This window comes from Homo sapiens, chromosome 8 (assembly GCF_000001405.40).
Source record: "Homo sapiens chromosome 8, GRCh38.p14 Primary Assembly".
In the NCBI taxonomy this organism is placed as follows: Eukaryota; Metazoa; Chordata; class Mammalia; order Primates; family Hominidae; genus Homo; species Homo sapiens.
This window is the reverse complement of record NC_000008.11, coordinates 56,701,123-56,716,234: the sequence shown is the minus strand read 5'-3', so window position 1 is coordinate 56,716,234 and position 15,112 is coordinate 56,701,123. Positions and strand designations below refer to the sequence as shown.

At 37.1% G+C, this 15,112-nt stretch overlaps 1 long non-coding RNA gene across 2 annotated transcripts in view; it reads right to left on the bottom strand.

Annotated features, from left to right (window-relative positions):
• Positions 1–721: 721 nt before the first annotated feature.
• LOC105375852 (uncharacterized) overlaps positions 722–15,112 on the bottom strand; it is a 32,348-nt gene continuing 17,957 nt past the window's right edge. The window contains exons 2-4 of one of the 2 annotated variants that reach the window (XR_928915.2): positions 3,194–3,260; positions 2,404–2,472; positions 722–1,249 (exon numbers count right to left, since the gene is read on the bottom strand). This is a non-coding gene — a long non-coding RNA (uncharacterized LOC105375852). The remainder of the gene's footprint in view (positions 1,250–2,403; positions 2,473–3,193; positions 3,261–15,112) is intronic. The other variant, XR_928916.2, reaches the window with a different exon arrangement.

Below are 15,112 nucleotides of genomic sequence, written 5' to 3'. Positions count from 1 at the left end.
AGTGGGAAGAACTTCTGTGAAGTGCCGGTCTGGCTGGGAACCACCTCATTCTGCATGGTAGAAGGAAAATATGAATCTTTGGTAGACAGTAGCCACCTCTGCCATAAGTTCTTTGTGATATCTCCAAATACTACAGGTTCCATTGTTTCCAGAATACATACATAGAAAAGCACCTCTCACATCAGCAAGGGGCTTATTCTGTAAGTGACCTGATGTTGGAGTTGCAGTTCTGGAAGCAGAGTTCAAAGCTAAAAGCAAATTTCTCATCCCTGTCTCAGAATAGAACTAGTCTTATTAACTAGACAAACAGCGATCAGTCTTGATTTGAGGAAGGCCAATCTAAATCAATGGAAAGCCTAAAATTATTTTATTTTATTTTATTTTAAATTTTATTTTATTTTATTGGTGAGTTCTTGCTTTGTTGCCCAGGCTGGAGTGCAGTGGCGCAATTATAGCTCACTCTAGTCTCGAACTCCTGGGCTCATAAGATCCTCTCACCTCAGCCTCCTGAGTAGCTGGGACAGCTGGACACCACCATACCCAGCCAATTTTTTACTTTGTAGAGACAGGGTCTCACTATGTTGCCCAGGCTGGTCTTGAACTATTTCTTTTTAAATATAAGAAGATGTATTATTTTTACGTAAATGAAGCAACTGAAAGGAGGGAAAGATGAGGAAGGAACTAATATTTATTGAGTATCTATAGGTACCATATGCTGCCATATAATGAAGTAGCTAGATATTCTCTGTGTGCTAACTCAGTCTTTACTAGATCCCCAGAGGGTGAAGAAGGAATTGGGGCACAGAGAAATCAAGTGATTTGAAATCCCTTGATTTACCAAAGCTCACACAGCTATTAAGTGGTGAGCGGGGATTAGCACTGAGAATTCTGTGGCTCTAAGGCCAAGGCACAACTTTCCACAGCATATGTCCTCAATGTGGCCTCAAACATGCTGCTCCTCATTAACTGTTGTAGACTAGAGCAAGATGGAGAGAAACTGGCACATCTGAGATGTGTACATGAGTGGCAGATTCTAAGATACAATTTTAAAATATTCTGTTCTCTTGAACTTTTAAACAGTGTTTTCCCTACTTATTCACATGATCCATTCGTACTTTCTCTACAGAACATTTTTCTTGTTGAATAAAATCTTCAGCTGACTCTCCATCAAGTCATTGCTCCTTCAGTATCCACAGACACGCGGCTGCAGCATCCTTCCCTTAGGTACTGGAGTTCCTGCTTCTAAGGCCTAGTGAATCAGGAAGAAAAAAAAATCGTGTATGGGCTTAATTAGGCATAATTGGAAGCATTCTCTTCTTTTTATGAAGGACCTTAAAAATAACCCCACTTTTATATGTAACTTTGTTAGAAGAAGATTAAAGAATACATTCTGTATATAATTGTATATATTCTCAACTCAGATGACTGTTGATAACACCGTGATCCTTGAGGATTTGGCTGGATTCTTTGAGTTTGTCCTTTCAGAAGGCAGTTAACCATGATCAGGGCTTGTATACAGGGGAAGATCACAGGGCAAACTGGGCAGGAAGACGGTGGAGGTGAGAAAGAGAGAGAGGCTCCACCAGCTATTTCTCAAACCGAGGCTGCAGAACACCCTTGATTCAATAAGTGGAGAATAAAAATAAATAGAACAAGTAAGAAATATATTTTTGAAACATCTCTATGTTAGTATTTTCCCCATCTTAGTCATCTTTTTCTGTTCCTGAATCATCCCTTCTGTCTTTATTGCCCCAAGTGGGGAAGGACAGTGAGGGAGGAAGGGGGCTGAGAGAGAGAGGCAGGTCCCCTCAGAAGTGAAGACTGGAGGGATCGGGGCAGAGAGGGATGCAGACGGCCAGCCCTGATTACCTCTCAGGACAAAATCTTCTGTGAGGAGGAGGACAAAGAGCAAAACCCAGATGGATTACCCAGCCTATGAGAACATGGAGATCCACTTCCTCCTTCCCCAGTGCAGCCTGGGAAGGTGGGCTGTCATTCAGAGTAGCCTCTCCCTTGGCAGGAGGACATATCTGGGTATATTGGCCAGAGAAAATGTCCCCTGAGCAAACCAGTGGCCCAAAGCAGCATGAGTCTGAGGACCCTGTGGATGGAGGCATGGGCAGCCACCGCCAAGAACAGGAGGGTGGCCTAAACTTGAAGTGATGCCAGCACCCTCAGCTGCACCAGTGCAGGGCACCCAGTGACCTGCAGGACGCTGCAGAGGACAGCAAGTTTCCAGAAAGCATGGCACCACGGATCCCTCCCCTACAGCTCCCTGTACCCAGGTCCTTCCCTGGGAAGGAGGAGGGGCAGGAAAGCTGTCTGGGGGAAACAAGATCATCCTGACAGGGAGTCAAACTTTGATTTGAAGAGAGTGCTTTCAACTGGGAGAAACTGGCTTACCGGGAACTGGCAATCTTAAATCCTCCCCACTGTCGCCACTGCAGGGCCTTGAGAGCAATATGAAATCTGCTGGAGGAATAAAGTGACATTGTTGTCCACCTGAGTAAATTCACCTATGTGTTACAATCAAAAGGCAGTTTATTTACAAAAGGAAGGAAGTGAAAGAAAACCCCTTTCTCTCTATTGAAGATATGCTTTCTAGGCATGAACAGAACGTCTCATAGGATCAGAAGAGGCAAGCCAGGCCTGGGGATGTGCGGGTGGGAGCAGCTCTGAGCTTCGATCCGTGGATGGGCCGGCAGGAGAGCACCTATCGGAGGCCTGGTCGAGGAGGGCAGCCTGCGTGGAGGACCAGCTGACATCCGGTAGAGCTGGGGCCTCGAGCAGACCTGACATATAACAAGGCCTCTGCAGGCATCCTGAGCAAGGCTGGAAGTTGAGCAACTTGAGAGCTTTTCACTCACATTCACTTTCCCTGTAAGATTTTCTGTAAATTCATGTTCATAAGCTTTAATAAAAGTACACACAGTGTGTGTCTGTGGGGGGAGCAAGAAGGGTGGAGTGCTGTTCTTTATTTCAATACACAGCTATTGGCCATAGAAACTCTTGATCCAGAGGAAGGCATTAAATGAATTATCCAAAGGACTCTTCTGCTATCAACTGAGTTTACTTTAACCTAACAATAGACTTACCTTGATTCCACACCAATTCTGTTTCCTAAGAGACTTTAGCATCTCTTAACTGAAATAAAACAAGAGAGAAATAAGCAATCAAACAAAATCAGACTTACTGAGACCACTGGCCAGTCTCTGAACTTCTTTCCCACGCGAGTCTTTTCTATTCCAACGTCTAGAATCCTGCAAGACAACCAAATTGTCTTACCTTACCACCTCTAGATTTCCAGTAACATTTTATGATTCTAGCTTCAAAACTTTCCTCCGTGCTCCACAGATCAGTTGGTTCAACTTCTGAGCATTTTGTTATATACTTCAAGGAATTGTCTTTGTCCTTCCTTTACTTCCTTTTTCCACTCTCCTTTTTGGGTCAACTGAACATGTTTTGTATTGTTTTGTTTAGATCCAGTGTCCCAACATTTTCTACTTAACAAGAAGGTAACATTCAAGAGCCTTGGTGAGAGTTTCACTTTATGTGGTTATTCCATTAGGCAGGACAGTTCTATCATCATTCTCAATGAGATGAGGAAACAGCATAAACAGCACCCAACAGCTTTTGTTTATGCTCTGAAATAAACTGTAAATTCAGGAAAGAATAATTTTGGATTCAAACTATCCCACTATTTGCTTTCAGCACTGTTTTTATTTTAGTTTTTTTGAGACAGGGTCTCACTTTGTCGCCCAGGCTCGAGTGCAGTGGCGCGATCTTGACTCACTGCAAACTCCACCTCCTGGGTTCAAGTAATTCTCCTGCCTCAGCCTCCTGAGTAGGTGAGACTACAGGCACCTGCCACCACGCCTGGCTAATTTTTGTATTTTTAGTAGACAGGGGGTTTCACCAGGCTGGTCTCGAATTCCTGACCTCAGGTGATCTGCCCGCCTCTGCCTCCCAAAGGGCTGGGATTACAGGTGTGAGTCACTGCGACTGGCCAGCATTGTTTTTAATGTGAAATTATTATTTTTTATAATTTGCCTCCCGATGTCAGTGGTGCCTACAGGTAATAAGTGAATTGAATTTCCAAGTATATGTAACTACTAAAGAGACAGCACCACAAAAATAAAAGTTATCTCAACACTGTGTTCTCAGTGTTAAATCTGGAAAATCTCAAAGTGATTTCATGAGGAAGAATCCTCGGATTTACAGACAGTCCCCAACTTAGGATCCACTTATGATGGTTTGACTTCATGATGGGGCAAAAGTGATACACATTTAGTAGAAATTATACTTTAAATTTTGAATTTTGATCTCTTCCCAGGCTAGTGATACATGGTACCATATTCTCTTGCAATGCCAGGCGGGGACAGAGCCACAGCAACCAGTCAGCCCTGCAATCATGAGCGTGAACCATTGAGCCTCTAGCTTGCAGTGTTGCCAGATGACCTTGCCCAACCATAGGCTAAGGGAAGTGATCTGAGCACGTGTAAGGTAGGTTAGCTGTATTAATTGCATTTTTGTCTTACAATATTTTCAACTTTCAACTTACTATGGTTTTATCTGGACATAATACCATTGTAAATTCAGGAGCATTTTTGCTTTAGAGGGGTTGTAGACATAGCATTCATCATGAACATCATTTCACCAATCATTTTAATATACTTTATAGAATACTAAACAGGATGAATTGAAAAGGGGGAGGCAAATCATGTGCGTTAGTCACATTTGGGATGATTATATTTTTATCATTGGCCCTTTTAAAAACAAAACTCACATAAACCAAAGCTTTGGAATACATTTCTGCTAACTGGTGTCAGCAACACTTTAATCATTTATTGCTCACCAAGTATAACAACCAGATGTTTGGATTTTAAGGACATTCCACCCACTTCCAAAACTCTCAGTACAATCCTAATTGCCTGCTTTCAGCTACTTGTTTCTTTGCTTGTGGCTGAAAACATTGTAAAACTGGCACCAAAGGGCCATGTGAATAAAACATATTAGTAGAAGCTTATGCTTAATAAGTAGCTATTCTAAAGATGCAATATAGGAATTCCATAGCCAATACTGGATGTGAAATTGCCCTCTTTGAGATCCAAAAAAGATGCCTTCTTAAAAGCAAGTTGTGATTTAGTGGGAAGAAAACTATTTTGTAGTTAGAACACCAATATTCAAGCCCCAGTTCAGCCACTTATTCAGTGTGAAACCTCACATAACCCACTTATTCCTCGGCAAAGCAGGGATGACAATATTTCCCTGTCACCTGGGGACTCAGGAGGAGCAGTGGATCAATGCATGTAGTCATGCTCAGTAAACTAAAAATCCACAGCAAAGTGTAATTGTATGTAAGTGCTATGGAAAGGTTGTGTGTTTTGAATACTAGATAGAAAAATGTACCTAAAAGATGTTTAAGATATAAAAGATAAAGAAAATGAAAGTGTGGTCTCAGCAAACAATGCACCAACTAGCATCTACCAGGTCTAGATAATTTACATAATTATACATAATTTACAAGCCCAGTGAAAAATGTAAATGTGAGGCCCTTTTCCAGAAAGCAGGAAAGAAGGGGACAGAAACTTTTCTTTCGTGGTCTCTCTTCACCTGTTTTATATTTCCTATTCATAGTGTTTTCTGTTTGTGATTTAATATGCTGCTTGAGCAAGGGTTACTCACAGGGTGTGTATAGACCCCCACAGGTGCTGGGCCCATCCCATGACTCGGAGCACAAGGCCAGATCCCACCTTCCCCATGTCGAGTCCCCAACCTGCTGGAGAGGCCACAGTGATTGCTACATGGAGTCAGGGGAGAGGATGGCTGAGAGCCCATCCAAGGGAGGAAAGGAGGTTCCAAGACTTCAGGGTGTGCTCCATTATCCCATCCATCTTCACTCACAAAGCACAGATCCAAAGATAAAATTATGCAGGATTTCAAGATGGTCACTGCAAGGCATTAAACCCATTAAACCCCAAGCACAGGGCCCCCTTCTGGGCATGGGGCCTAAGTGATTGTACTGGTGGCAGGTCCATGAATCATAAATCCCTCTATTACATTTTTGGGCTCTCAATTTTTTTAAGTGGTAACACAGGATAGTAAGTAAAAGAACAGACTCCAAAGCTAGATTGCTATTTCCAAACTGTCTCTGCCTCTCATCAGCTCTATAATTTTGAGCAAGTTATTTTTTTTTTCTCTTTGAGCATCAGTTTCTCCATTTGTAAAACCATGAGAATAATAATAATAATTTGATTTTGTAGAGTCATCATGCAGATTAAGTGAATTAATATATGAATTAAATAAATGAATATATAATCATTGCTTTCATAGGGTGATTGCACAGATTAAGTGAATTAATATGTATGTGCTAGGGCCTAACATATTAAGTACTATAAAATTGTTATTATTTTTCATATGAATCCACATTGCAGATCCAAGATGATTCCAAAAATGAGCATGTTTGGAATCCTCACAGGAAAAGGTTAAAAGAATGAAAAAATAATACATAGAATGCAAACACTAGCCAAAGGAAGATTATGTAACTATATTAATATCAGACAAAGTAGACTATAAACCATGAAATATTCAAAAAAGATGTTAAACACTTTATTAAAATAAAAGGAAAAGCATTATTATCTCAATAGGAAGATATAATAATCCTACATTTTTATGCAACTAATAACATTGCCTTAAAATTTATAAAAGTCTAACTACTTTCCTTAATTACTAAAAACTTCCTCAACGCAATTCATAGGCTATATTTTCTAAAATTTGACAGGCCCAGAATAATTCTTTGTTGAATGAATGAGTACATGAATAAACTAAAAAATTCTAAGAAAATTATAGTGGGATATTTCAATATGTTTCTCACTACCAACATAAACACACACCCAAAAAAATGTAAGGATATAGAAGATTTAAAATGCACAAATAAGAAATTTGTATATGTAGAATTATACAACAAAGAATTGCAGAATACACATTATTTACAAGCTCTCTCATTTAAAAAGTTACCATATGCTGGCCCATAAAGGAAACATCAACAAATTTCAATTGAATAAAGCCATGCAAAATATATGTTTTCTGACCACAGTACAATTTAGCAAAAAGTCAATAACAAAATGAGACCTAGAAAATCAGTATGTTTGAAATTAAGCAATACACTTCAAAGTATCCCATGGATCGAAGAAGAAAGGAAAACAATAGTTTATAATGAAGTATCTTAAGCTGAATGATGATAAAAATATAACATCTAAGACCGGGTGCGGTGGCTCACGCCTGTAATACCAGCACTTTGGGAGGCCGAGGCGGGTAGATCACCTGAGGTCAGGAGTTTGAGACCGGCCTGGCCAACATGGTGAAATCCCGTCTCTACTAAAAATACAAAAATTAGCTGGGCATGGTGGCAGGCACCTGTAATCCCAGCTACTTGGGAGGCTGAGGCAAGAGAATCGCTTGAATCCAGGAGGCGGAGGTTGTAGTTAGCTGAGATCATGCATTGCACTCCAGCCTGGGGGACAAGAGCAAGACTTCATCTCAAAAAAAATAAAAATAAATAACACCTGAAAAATGGGAAATACTTTGAGAGAAATTTATTCCCTTAAATACGTATACTAGAAAAGAAGATTGAAGATCAATGACCTAAATTAAGACGTTAGAAAATAACAAAGCCAAAGGAATGAGAATAAACTAAATAATAAAGAAAAAGCTAGAAATTAATATAATAAAAAAGCAAACAAAATAGAAAGGATTAAAAAAGTCCAAAAAAGATTATTTAAAAAGAATACAATTAATAAACCCCTAGCAAGCATAATCATTGAAAAAAAAGGAGAGGCCATGAACATTAAATATCAGTGATGAGAAAGGAGACGTAAGTACAGGTCTTACAAAAGATAAGAAGGGGGTATTATGAACAAATTTATTCACATGTTTTTGAAATTTTATATAAAATGGATTCTTCATATAAAAGGACAATTTACTAAAACTAAACAAGAAGGAACAGTATACCTAAATTTTCCTAAAGAAAAATAATCTATAATTTAAAATTTTGCACAAAGAAAAGTCCTGGATGAAGTCACTACACAGGTGAATTATTCTCACAGTTATGAAAGAATTTGTAGCCAATCTTACACAATCATCTACTTAATATTTTAAAAGGGACAATAATCCTGAACACATTTTATGTGTTCAAATCCTTACAAGAACATTACAACAAAGAAAAAGTATAGACCAATTGTTAGCAGTGGCAGAGATCCAAGTTATCCCAAGTTACTGGAGGTGTATTCATATGGGTTTGCAGCAACTTCAGTCTTTGCCTCCTCAGAAGAAAGAATTTGACTGAAGGGAATAAAGGAGAAGACACCAAGGCAAGTTTCAGACCAGGAGTGAAAGTTTATTAAAAAGCTTTAGAACAGCAAGGAAAGGAAGGAAAGGAAAGAAAAGAAGGAAAGTACGACTTGTAAGAGGGCAAAGCTAGCGGGCGACTGGAGTAACCAAGTGCACAGCCTGACCTCTTGACTTCAGGTTTTTATATGTTGGCATACTTCTGGGGACTTAATGGGAAGCTGCTGGTCAGTTTCAGGTGTTTTCTATCTATTAGGAGCTTGCCTTGTCCTGGTTTGCCAGCTGTGACCAATTACACTTTAGAGAAACAGTTAACAACCGCCTGACCATCACCTAATGGGTGTCCAACACTCCTGGCGTGTGAGTTGTGGGGAGCCCTCTCCCGCCTGCTCATACCTGACTAGCTACCTGCTGTAACACAATCTTATTCATGAACAAAGATGAAAAATAATTAAATAAATATTATTAAACAATCAAAAAATTAAAAATAATACATCATGATCAAGCTTAGCATGACAAGCATGGAAGGTTAACATTTGAAAACTCAATAAATACAAATTTATCATCTTAAGAGAATAAAGAAAAATCATACAAGCATTTCAATCATTGCAGAAAACATCTGATAAAGTTCAACACCGATTCATAATAAAAATTATTAATAAGAGTTTTTAGTAGGTAACTGATAATAAAAACAATATACAAAAATGTTACTTGACACTGAATAGTGAAATGTTCAAATAAGAATGCCTGCTATCACTACTTCTATTTAACATTTTACTCTAGATACCATTGCAGTATGTCAACAAACAGAAATATCTAAAATGTAAGGACTGGAAAGGAAGAAAAATTGTCATTATTTACAGATGATATAATTTTGTATGTATAAAGTCCAAAATAGTTTTTAGATAAATTCCAAAATTAATGAATAAGTTTAGCAAGTTTGCTGGACACTGATCAGTATATAAAATTGATGTATTTCCATCTATCTGCAGCAAATAATTAGAAAAGAAAATACCTTAAAACATACTATTTACAATAGTACTAAAAAACAATATATAGGAATAAATCTAATAAAAGATATACCCAATTTCAATTTCTTTTTTTTTTTTTTTCTTTTTTTTGAGGCGGAGTCTCCCTCTGTTGCCCAGGCTAGAGTGCAGTGGCACGATCTCGGCTCACTGCAAGCTCCGCCTCCCAGGCTCACGCCATTCTTCTGCCTCAGTCTCCCTAGAAGCTGGAACTATAGGCGCCCGCCACCATGCCAGGCTAATTTTTTGTATTTTTAGTAGAGACGGAGTTTCTCTGTGTTAGCCAGGATGGTCTCGATCTCCTGACCTCGTGATCCGCCCGCCTCGGCCTCCCAAAGTGCTGGGAGATATACCCAATTTCTACAAAGAAAACTCTAATAAAATTTATGAAAAAGTGGTTGTACTATATCTATAATTTGGAAGAGTCAGTATTTTAAGGAATTTTAATTCTCCCCAAATTGACCCCCATAGATTTAAAGCAATTACAATCAATCCCAGCAGATATTTTTTGAAAACTGAGATGTTAGCTGTGAAATATATGTGGAGAAGGGACAAATATAGACAAGATAAACTCCACTAAGAGGAACAAAGTAGGAGAATGTGCTCTATCGCATTCCAAAATATATTATGAGGCTGCAGTAACTGTGACTGGCCATACTGGTGCAAGGACAGAAAGACAGATCAGTGGAATGGAGTAGAAAACCTAGAAACAGATTCACTCACACACGGACACTTGACCTTGACACACAAAGAATAATGAAGAAAGAATGGCATTTTCATTCAATGATGAGTCAGTTAGATAGCCATATGGAAAAAAATGAAAATTTACTCTCCTTTAAACCATAATAAAAATATCAATCTTAGATGGATTATTGATACAAATGTGTAACAGCAACAAAGCTTCTATAATACAATTTAGAAAAACATCTTCATGACTTGCAATGGGAAACTATTTCTTTATACATATTGGGCTGCATTAAAATTAAAAACATTGGTTATTAAAAATGTCTTTCTCAGACAGAGGTGGAAAACTTAAAAACTTAGAGGAGTTATTTGTAATACATACAACCAATAAAGAGTTAATATCCAAAATATATTTATAATGACAACTAAATAAGAAAAGGACCAGAGCCTAAAAGAAAAAATGAGCCAGAGACTTGAGCAAACATTTCACAAAAGAGAATATCAAAATGGCCAATAAACATATGAAGAGATGCTCAACCTCATTAGTCATCAGAGAAATGCTAATGAAAACCCCTATGTGATACCTTCGTAAACTCATCAGAGCAGCTAAAGTTAAAAACTCTGACAAGACCAAGGAATAGCAAAGACATGGAACAAAAGGAACTCTAATTCCCTACTGATAGGAGCATAAATTGGTACATCTTTGGAAATGCATAGTGCCACTTCAAAATTTGAACATGAATATAACCTATTATCTAACAATTCTTGTCTCTTAGATACATACCAACTAAAAATTTGTCCATACTTACACCAAGAAACATGTATAGAAATGTTCATGCCATTGTAACTTATATTTTTTATTTTTTACTTTTTTATTTTTATTTATTTATTTATTTTGAGACGGAGTCTTGCTCTGTCGCCCAGGCTGGAGTGCAGTGGCACAATCTCGGCTCACTGCAAGCTCCGCCTCCTGGGTTCACGCCATTCTCCTGCCTCAGCCTCCCAAGTAGCTGGAACTACAGGCGCCCACCACCACGTCCAGCTAATTTTTTTGTATTTTTAGTAGAGACGGGGTTTCCCCGTGTGCTAGCCAGGATGGTCTCAATCTCCTGACCTCGTGATTCCCCCGCTTCGGCCTCCCAAAGTACTGGGATTACAGGCGTTAGCCACTGCGCCCAGCCCATCGTTTTTTATTTTTAACAGGGTATGTGTTGCCGTTTGTTACTTTCATATTAAAGTAATCAAGATTATAATCATACTGAAAGGGTTTCCAAGGACCATGCATCCTTAGCTGGAAACATAGTATTACTTAAATGGAAGTTCTAATGCTGTAAAGTTCAATAGAGTATGAAATACAAAGATACCAAATGACTGAAAACTAAAGAACTGCTTTTTCTCCTTAATAGTGGTTACTGTCTTGGAATATAAGCTGTATTCCAGTCAAGCTGATTTCCCTTTTTGTTTCTAGGAAAACAATATTCCATCTTTAAGGACAGAAAAACAAGAAACACCTCTACTTTTTCTTTTTCACCGTTTCCACCCCTCAAAGCCTAATTAGCCAGTATACTAAGATTTTGGTCAATAGCATTTGAAAGATGATGTCTTCTTTTCTGATTCCTGGAATAGTCCAGAAAAAAACATCTTTGTTTGGAGGTGACAAAGCTATTATAAATAATAATGCTGTGAACATTCTTCTGCACAAGTTTTGGTGGGGTATTTACAAAGAAATATTAACAGAATTCTGGGTTTAAGGGTATGCCTGCTATGTGAGCTTTAGCAAATAGTGCCTAGATGTTCTCCAGGTTGGTTATGTCAATGGACTCTCTTCAGGTCTATTTCAATTATTTTCATTTTGATGTTGTTGACTGAATAGTTGTGTCTCCCGAAAATTTGTATGTTGAAATCCCCAGGGCGATGCTACTGGGAGGTGGGACCTTTAGGAGGTGAATAGGTCATGAGGGTGGAGCCCTCATTTATATAGGATTAATGCCCTTATGAAAGAGACCCCAGAGAGATCTCTAGCTTTCTTTCCACCATGTGAGGATATGAAGGAAAGGTTTGGCAAGTTTTGTTTTATCCAATTTATTTATTTTTTTTGAAAGTTCAACTTTATTGGCACAAAGCTGTTCATAATTTCTTGTTTTATATTTTTAATTTCTTTAGGTTCTGTAGTAATGTCTGTTTTTTTTCATTTCTAACATTAATTATTTGTGCCTCGGCCTTTTCTTTTAATCAATCGCACCAGAAATTTATCAATTTTGTTCATATTTAAAAAAAACAGCTTTAGCTTTGTTGAAGTTTTCTATTACACAGAATTTTCTATTTCATTGTTTTCTACCTTTTAGGAATTGTTTCTTTTATCTGTTTCAAAAATAATGTGTTGTTTTTCTAGCTTCTTGAGATGGATACTTATATCATTGTCTTTCAGTCTTCATTCTTAATATGTGAATTAAAGGCTATAATTGCTTCTTTAACCACAGTTGTGTTTGAATCTCACAAGATTTTATACATCATGTTAGAATTATCATTCGGTCTAAAACATGTTCTTATTTTTATTGTAATTTCTTTTTGAACCCATGAGTTATTTACAAAGAAATTCCTTAATATTAATAAGAATTAATTAATTAGTATGTATGGATTTCCTAGAAATCATTTTATTATTCCAATTCACATCTAATATGGCCAAGAACTCAAATCCAAATTCTATGTAATTTGTTTTATGGCCCTTTATTAATAAGTGGTCCACATGTGCCTCAAAATATAGGGTTCTCAGAAACATGAGGCAGAATGTTCTGTATATACATTTAGGTCAGGTTTGTTAATTACCTGTTCAAATCCTCTATGGATCTTGCTCCTTTTATTTGTAACTGGGAAGAATATGTTAAAACATTCCATTATGGTTGCAGATTTTTTTCCTTTTAGTTCTGCTGGAGATATATATATATATATATATATATATATATATACACACATATATATATATATACATATATATATATATACATACACACACACACACACACATACTTTTATATACACACATATATATAGCAGATATATATGTGTGTATATAAAAGTATGTATATTTATAAGTGTATATGTATACATTATAATATGCAAAATATATATGTATTATATATATTTTTTGGCCTATGCTATAAGAAGCCTACCAATTATGAAATGTTATGTCTTTCTAATATATTGACCCTTTTATTATTATAGAATGTATTATAGAATGTATTATCACTTTCATTAAAGCCAATTTTGCCTGTTAATATAGTTTTAACAGCCTTCTCTCGGTTATTTTTTAAGACTTATCCATCCTTTTACTTTCCACTGTTCTATGTTTTTATATTTATGTGACAAGCATCATATAGTTGGGTTTTGTATTATTATCCAATTTTAAAATATTGGTCTTTTAATTGGCTTATCTTTGTTTCCTTATCTTTCATTTGCCTAAATAATGTGCTTTAATATTTCTTTTAAAGGCTTAATGACAATGAATTTTCTCCTTGTTTTAATTATCAAAAATATCTTTATCTCTATTTTTAAGGATCTTTTGACAAAGCAAAGAATTCATGATTGACAGTTGTATTATTTTAGCCTTCTAGTGATATAATTCCATTGTAATTTGTCTTCTTTTAATTCTGTGGGAAAATCAGCCCTTGATCTTATTGTTCTTCCTTGGAAGGTTTTATCATTTTCCTCTGCATGCAAAAGAAAAGATTAATCTTTTCTCTTTGATCTTTAGCAATTTACCATGATATGCCTATATGTGAATTTATTTTATTCATCCCATTGCCGTTTTATAGAACTTACTGAATCAGTGGTTTGAATCTTTCACATTTTGGAAGAATTATCTAGTATTTCTTCTCATTTTGCTCTGTCCTTCTCTCCTCTCCAGTTACACCCACTTTAGATTTGTACTTATGTCCTACATGTCTATTACATTCTCTATTTTTCATTCCCTTTTTATGTGTCCTTTAGTTTGAGTATTTCCTCTTGACCTAGCTTCTGCTTCACCAAATACCTTTTCTGCTGAGTCAAATTTCCTCTTAAATTAATCTCTTATTAATTTCAATTAATGTGATTTTCCAATCTAGAATAATTACCATTTGACTTTTTTTATGGATCCCAGTTCTCTGGCTAGTCTTCATTGTATAGTTTATTTTTTGAACATATTTGTCACTGCTATTGCCAGGTCTGAATCCTAAACTTTAATATCTAGATCACATGTAGGCCTATTCCTAATAGATTTTCCTGCTCTTGGTTTTGGTCTTTTGGACATTTCCTGACACATATAATTTTTGCTTGAGTGTTGGGCATTATACAACATTTCAGGGACTCTATGACATGATCTTTCTACAGAAAGGATTGAGTTGTCTTCTGTTAGGCAGTCAGGAGTTGTAGAGCATGCACTGATCCATTGATTGAGATGATTCAAGATGGATTCTGTCCATTGTCAGATTTTGTCCATTTTGGTTTTCCCAGAGTTTATCCTTTCAAGGGTATCTAATGAAAGTCTGGAGTGATTACTAGAAATTCTCTTTTTGGCAAGCTATAAACTCAGACTTTTGTGTCCTTATTCCCATGAGATGACCTGAAGCTCTGCTTGGGCTTTGCCCCTCCACGGCTCTCTCTACCTAATTTTGTCCTCCCATTCCATGCAGTGTAGGAACTGGTGAAGGCTTCAAGGGAAAAACCAGTTGTAAAATGTTGGACTTAATTCTCCAGGATCCAATTTCATACAGAATTTTGGTCCCTCAAGTCCTGGCTGCCTTTACAACTTTAAACTCCCATTATTTTCTTCTAAGGTCACTGAGACTATCAAATGCTGAGCCACTTTCTGCTCAGCCACCATGATCTGTGTGCTTAGGAATCAGTAAATAGAAAAGTATAGTAAATATCACCCAATGCACTTTATGGACTTGGTCCTACAAGGCCTGGTGTCCTTGATTGTCCTCCGGTGCCTTAAACAACTGGATTTTTTGCTTGTTTGTTTTATTTATATTTTGTTCAGCATTTTTCGTTTCTCTTGGTGACAGTGTTGATAG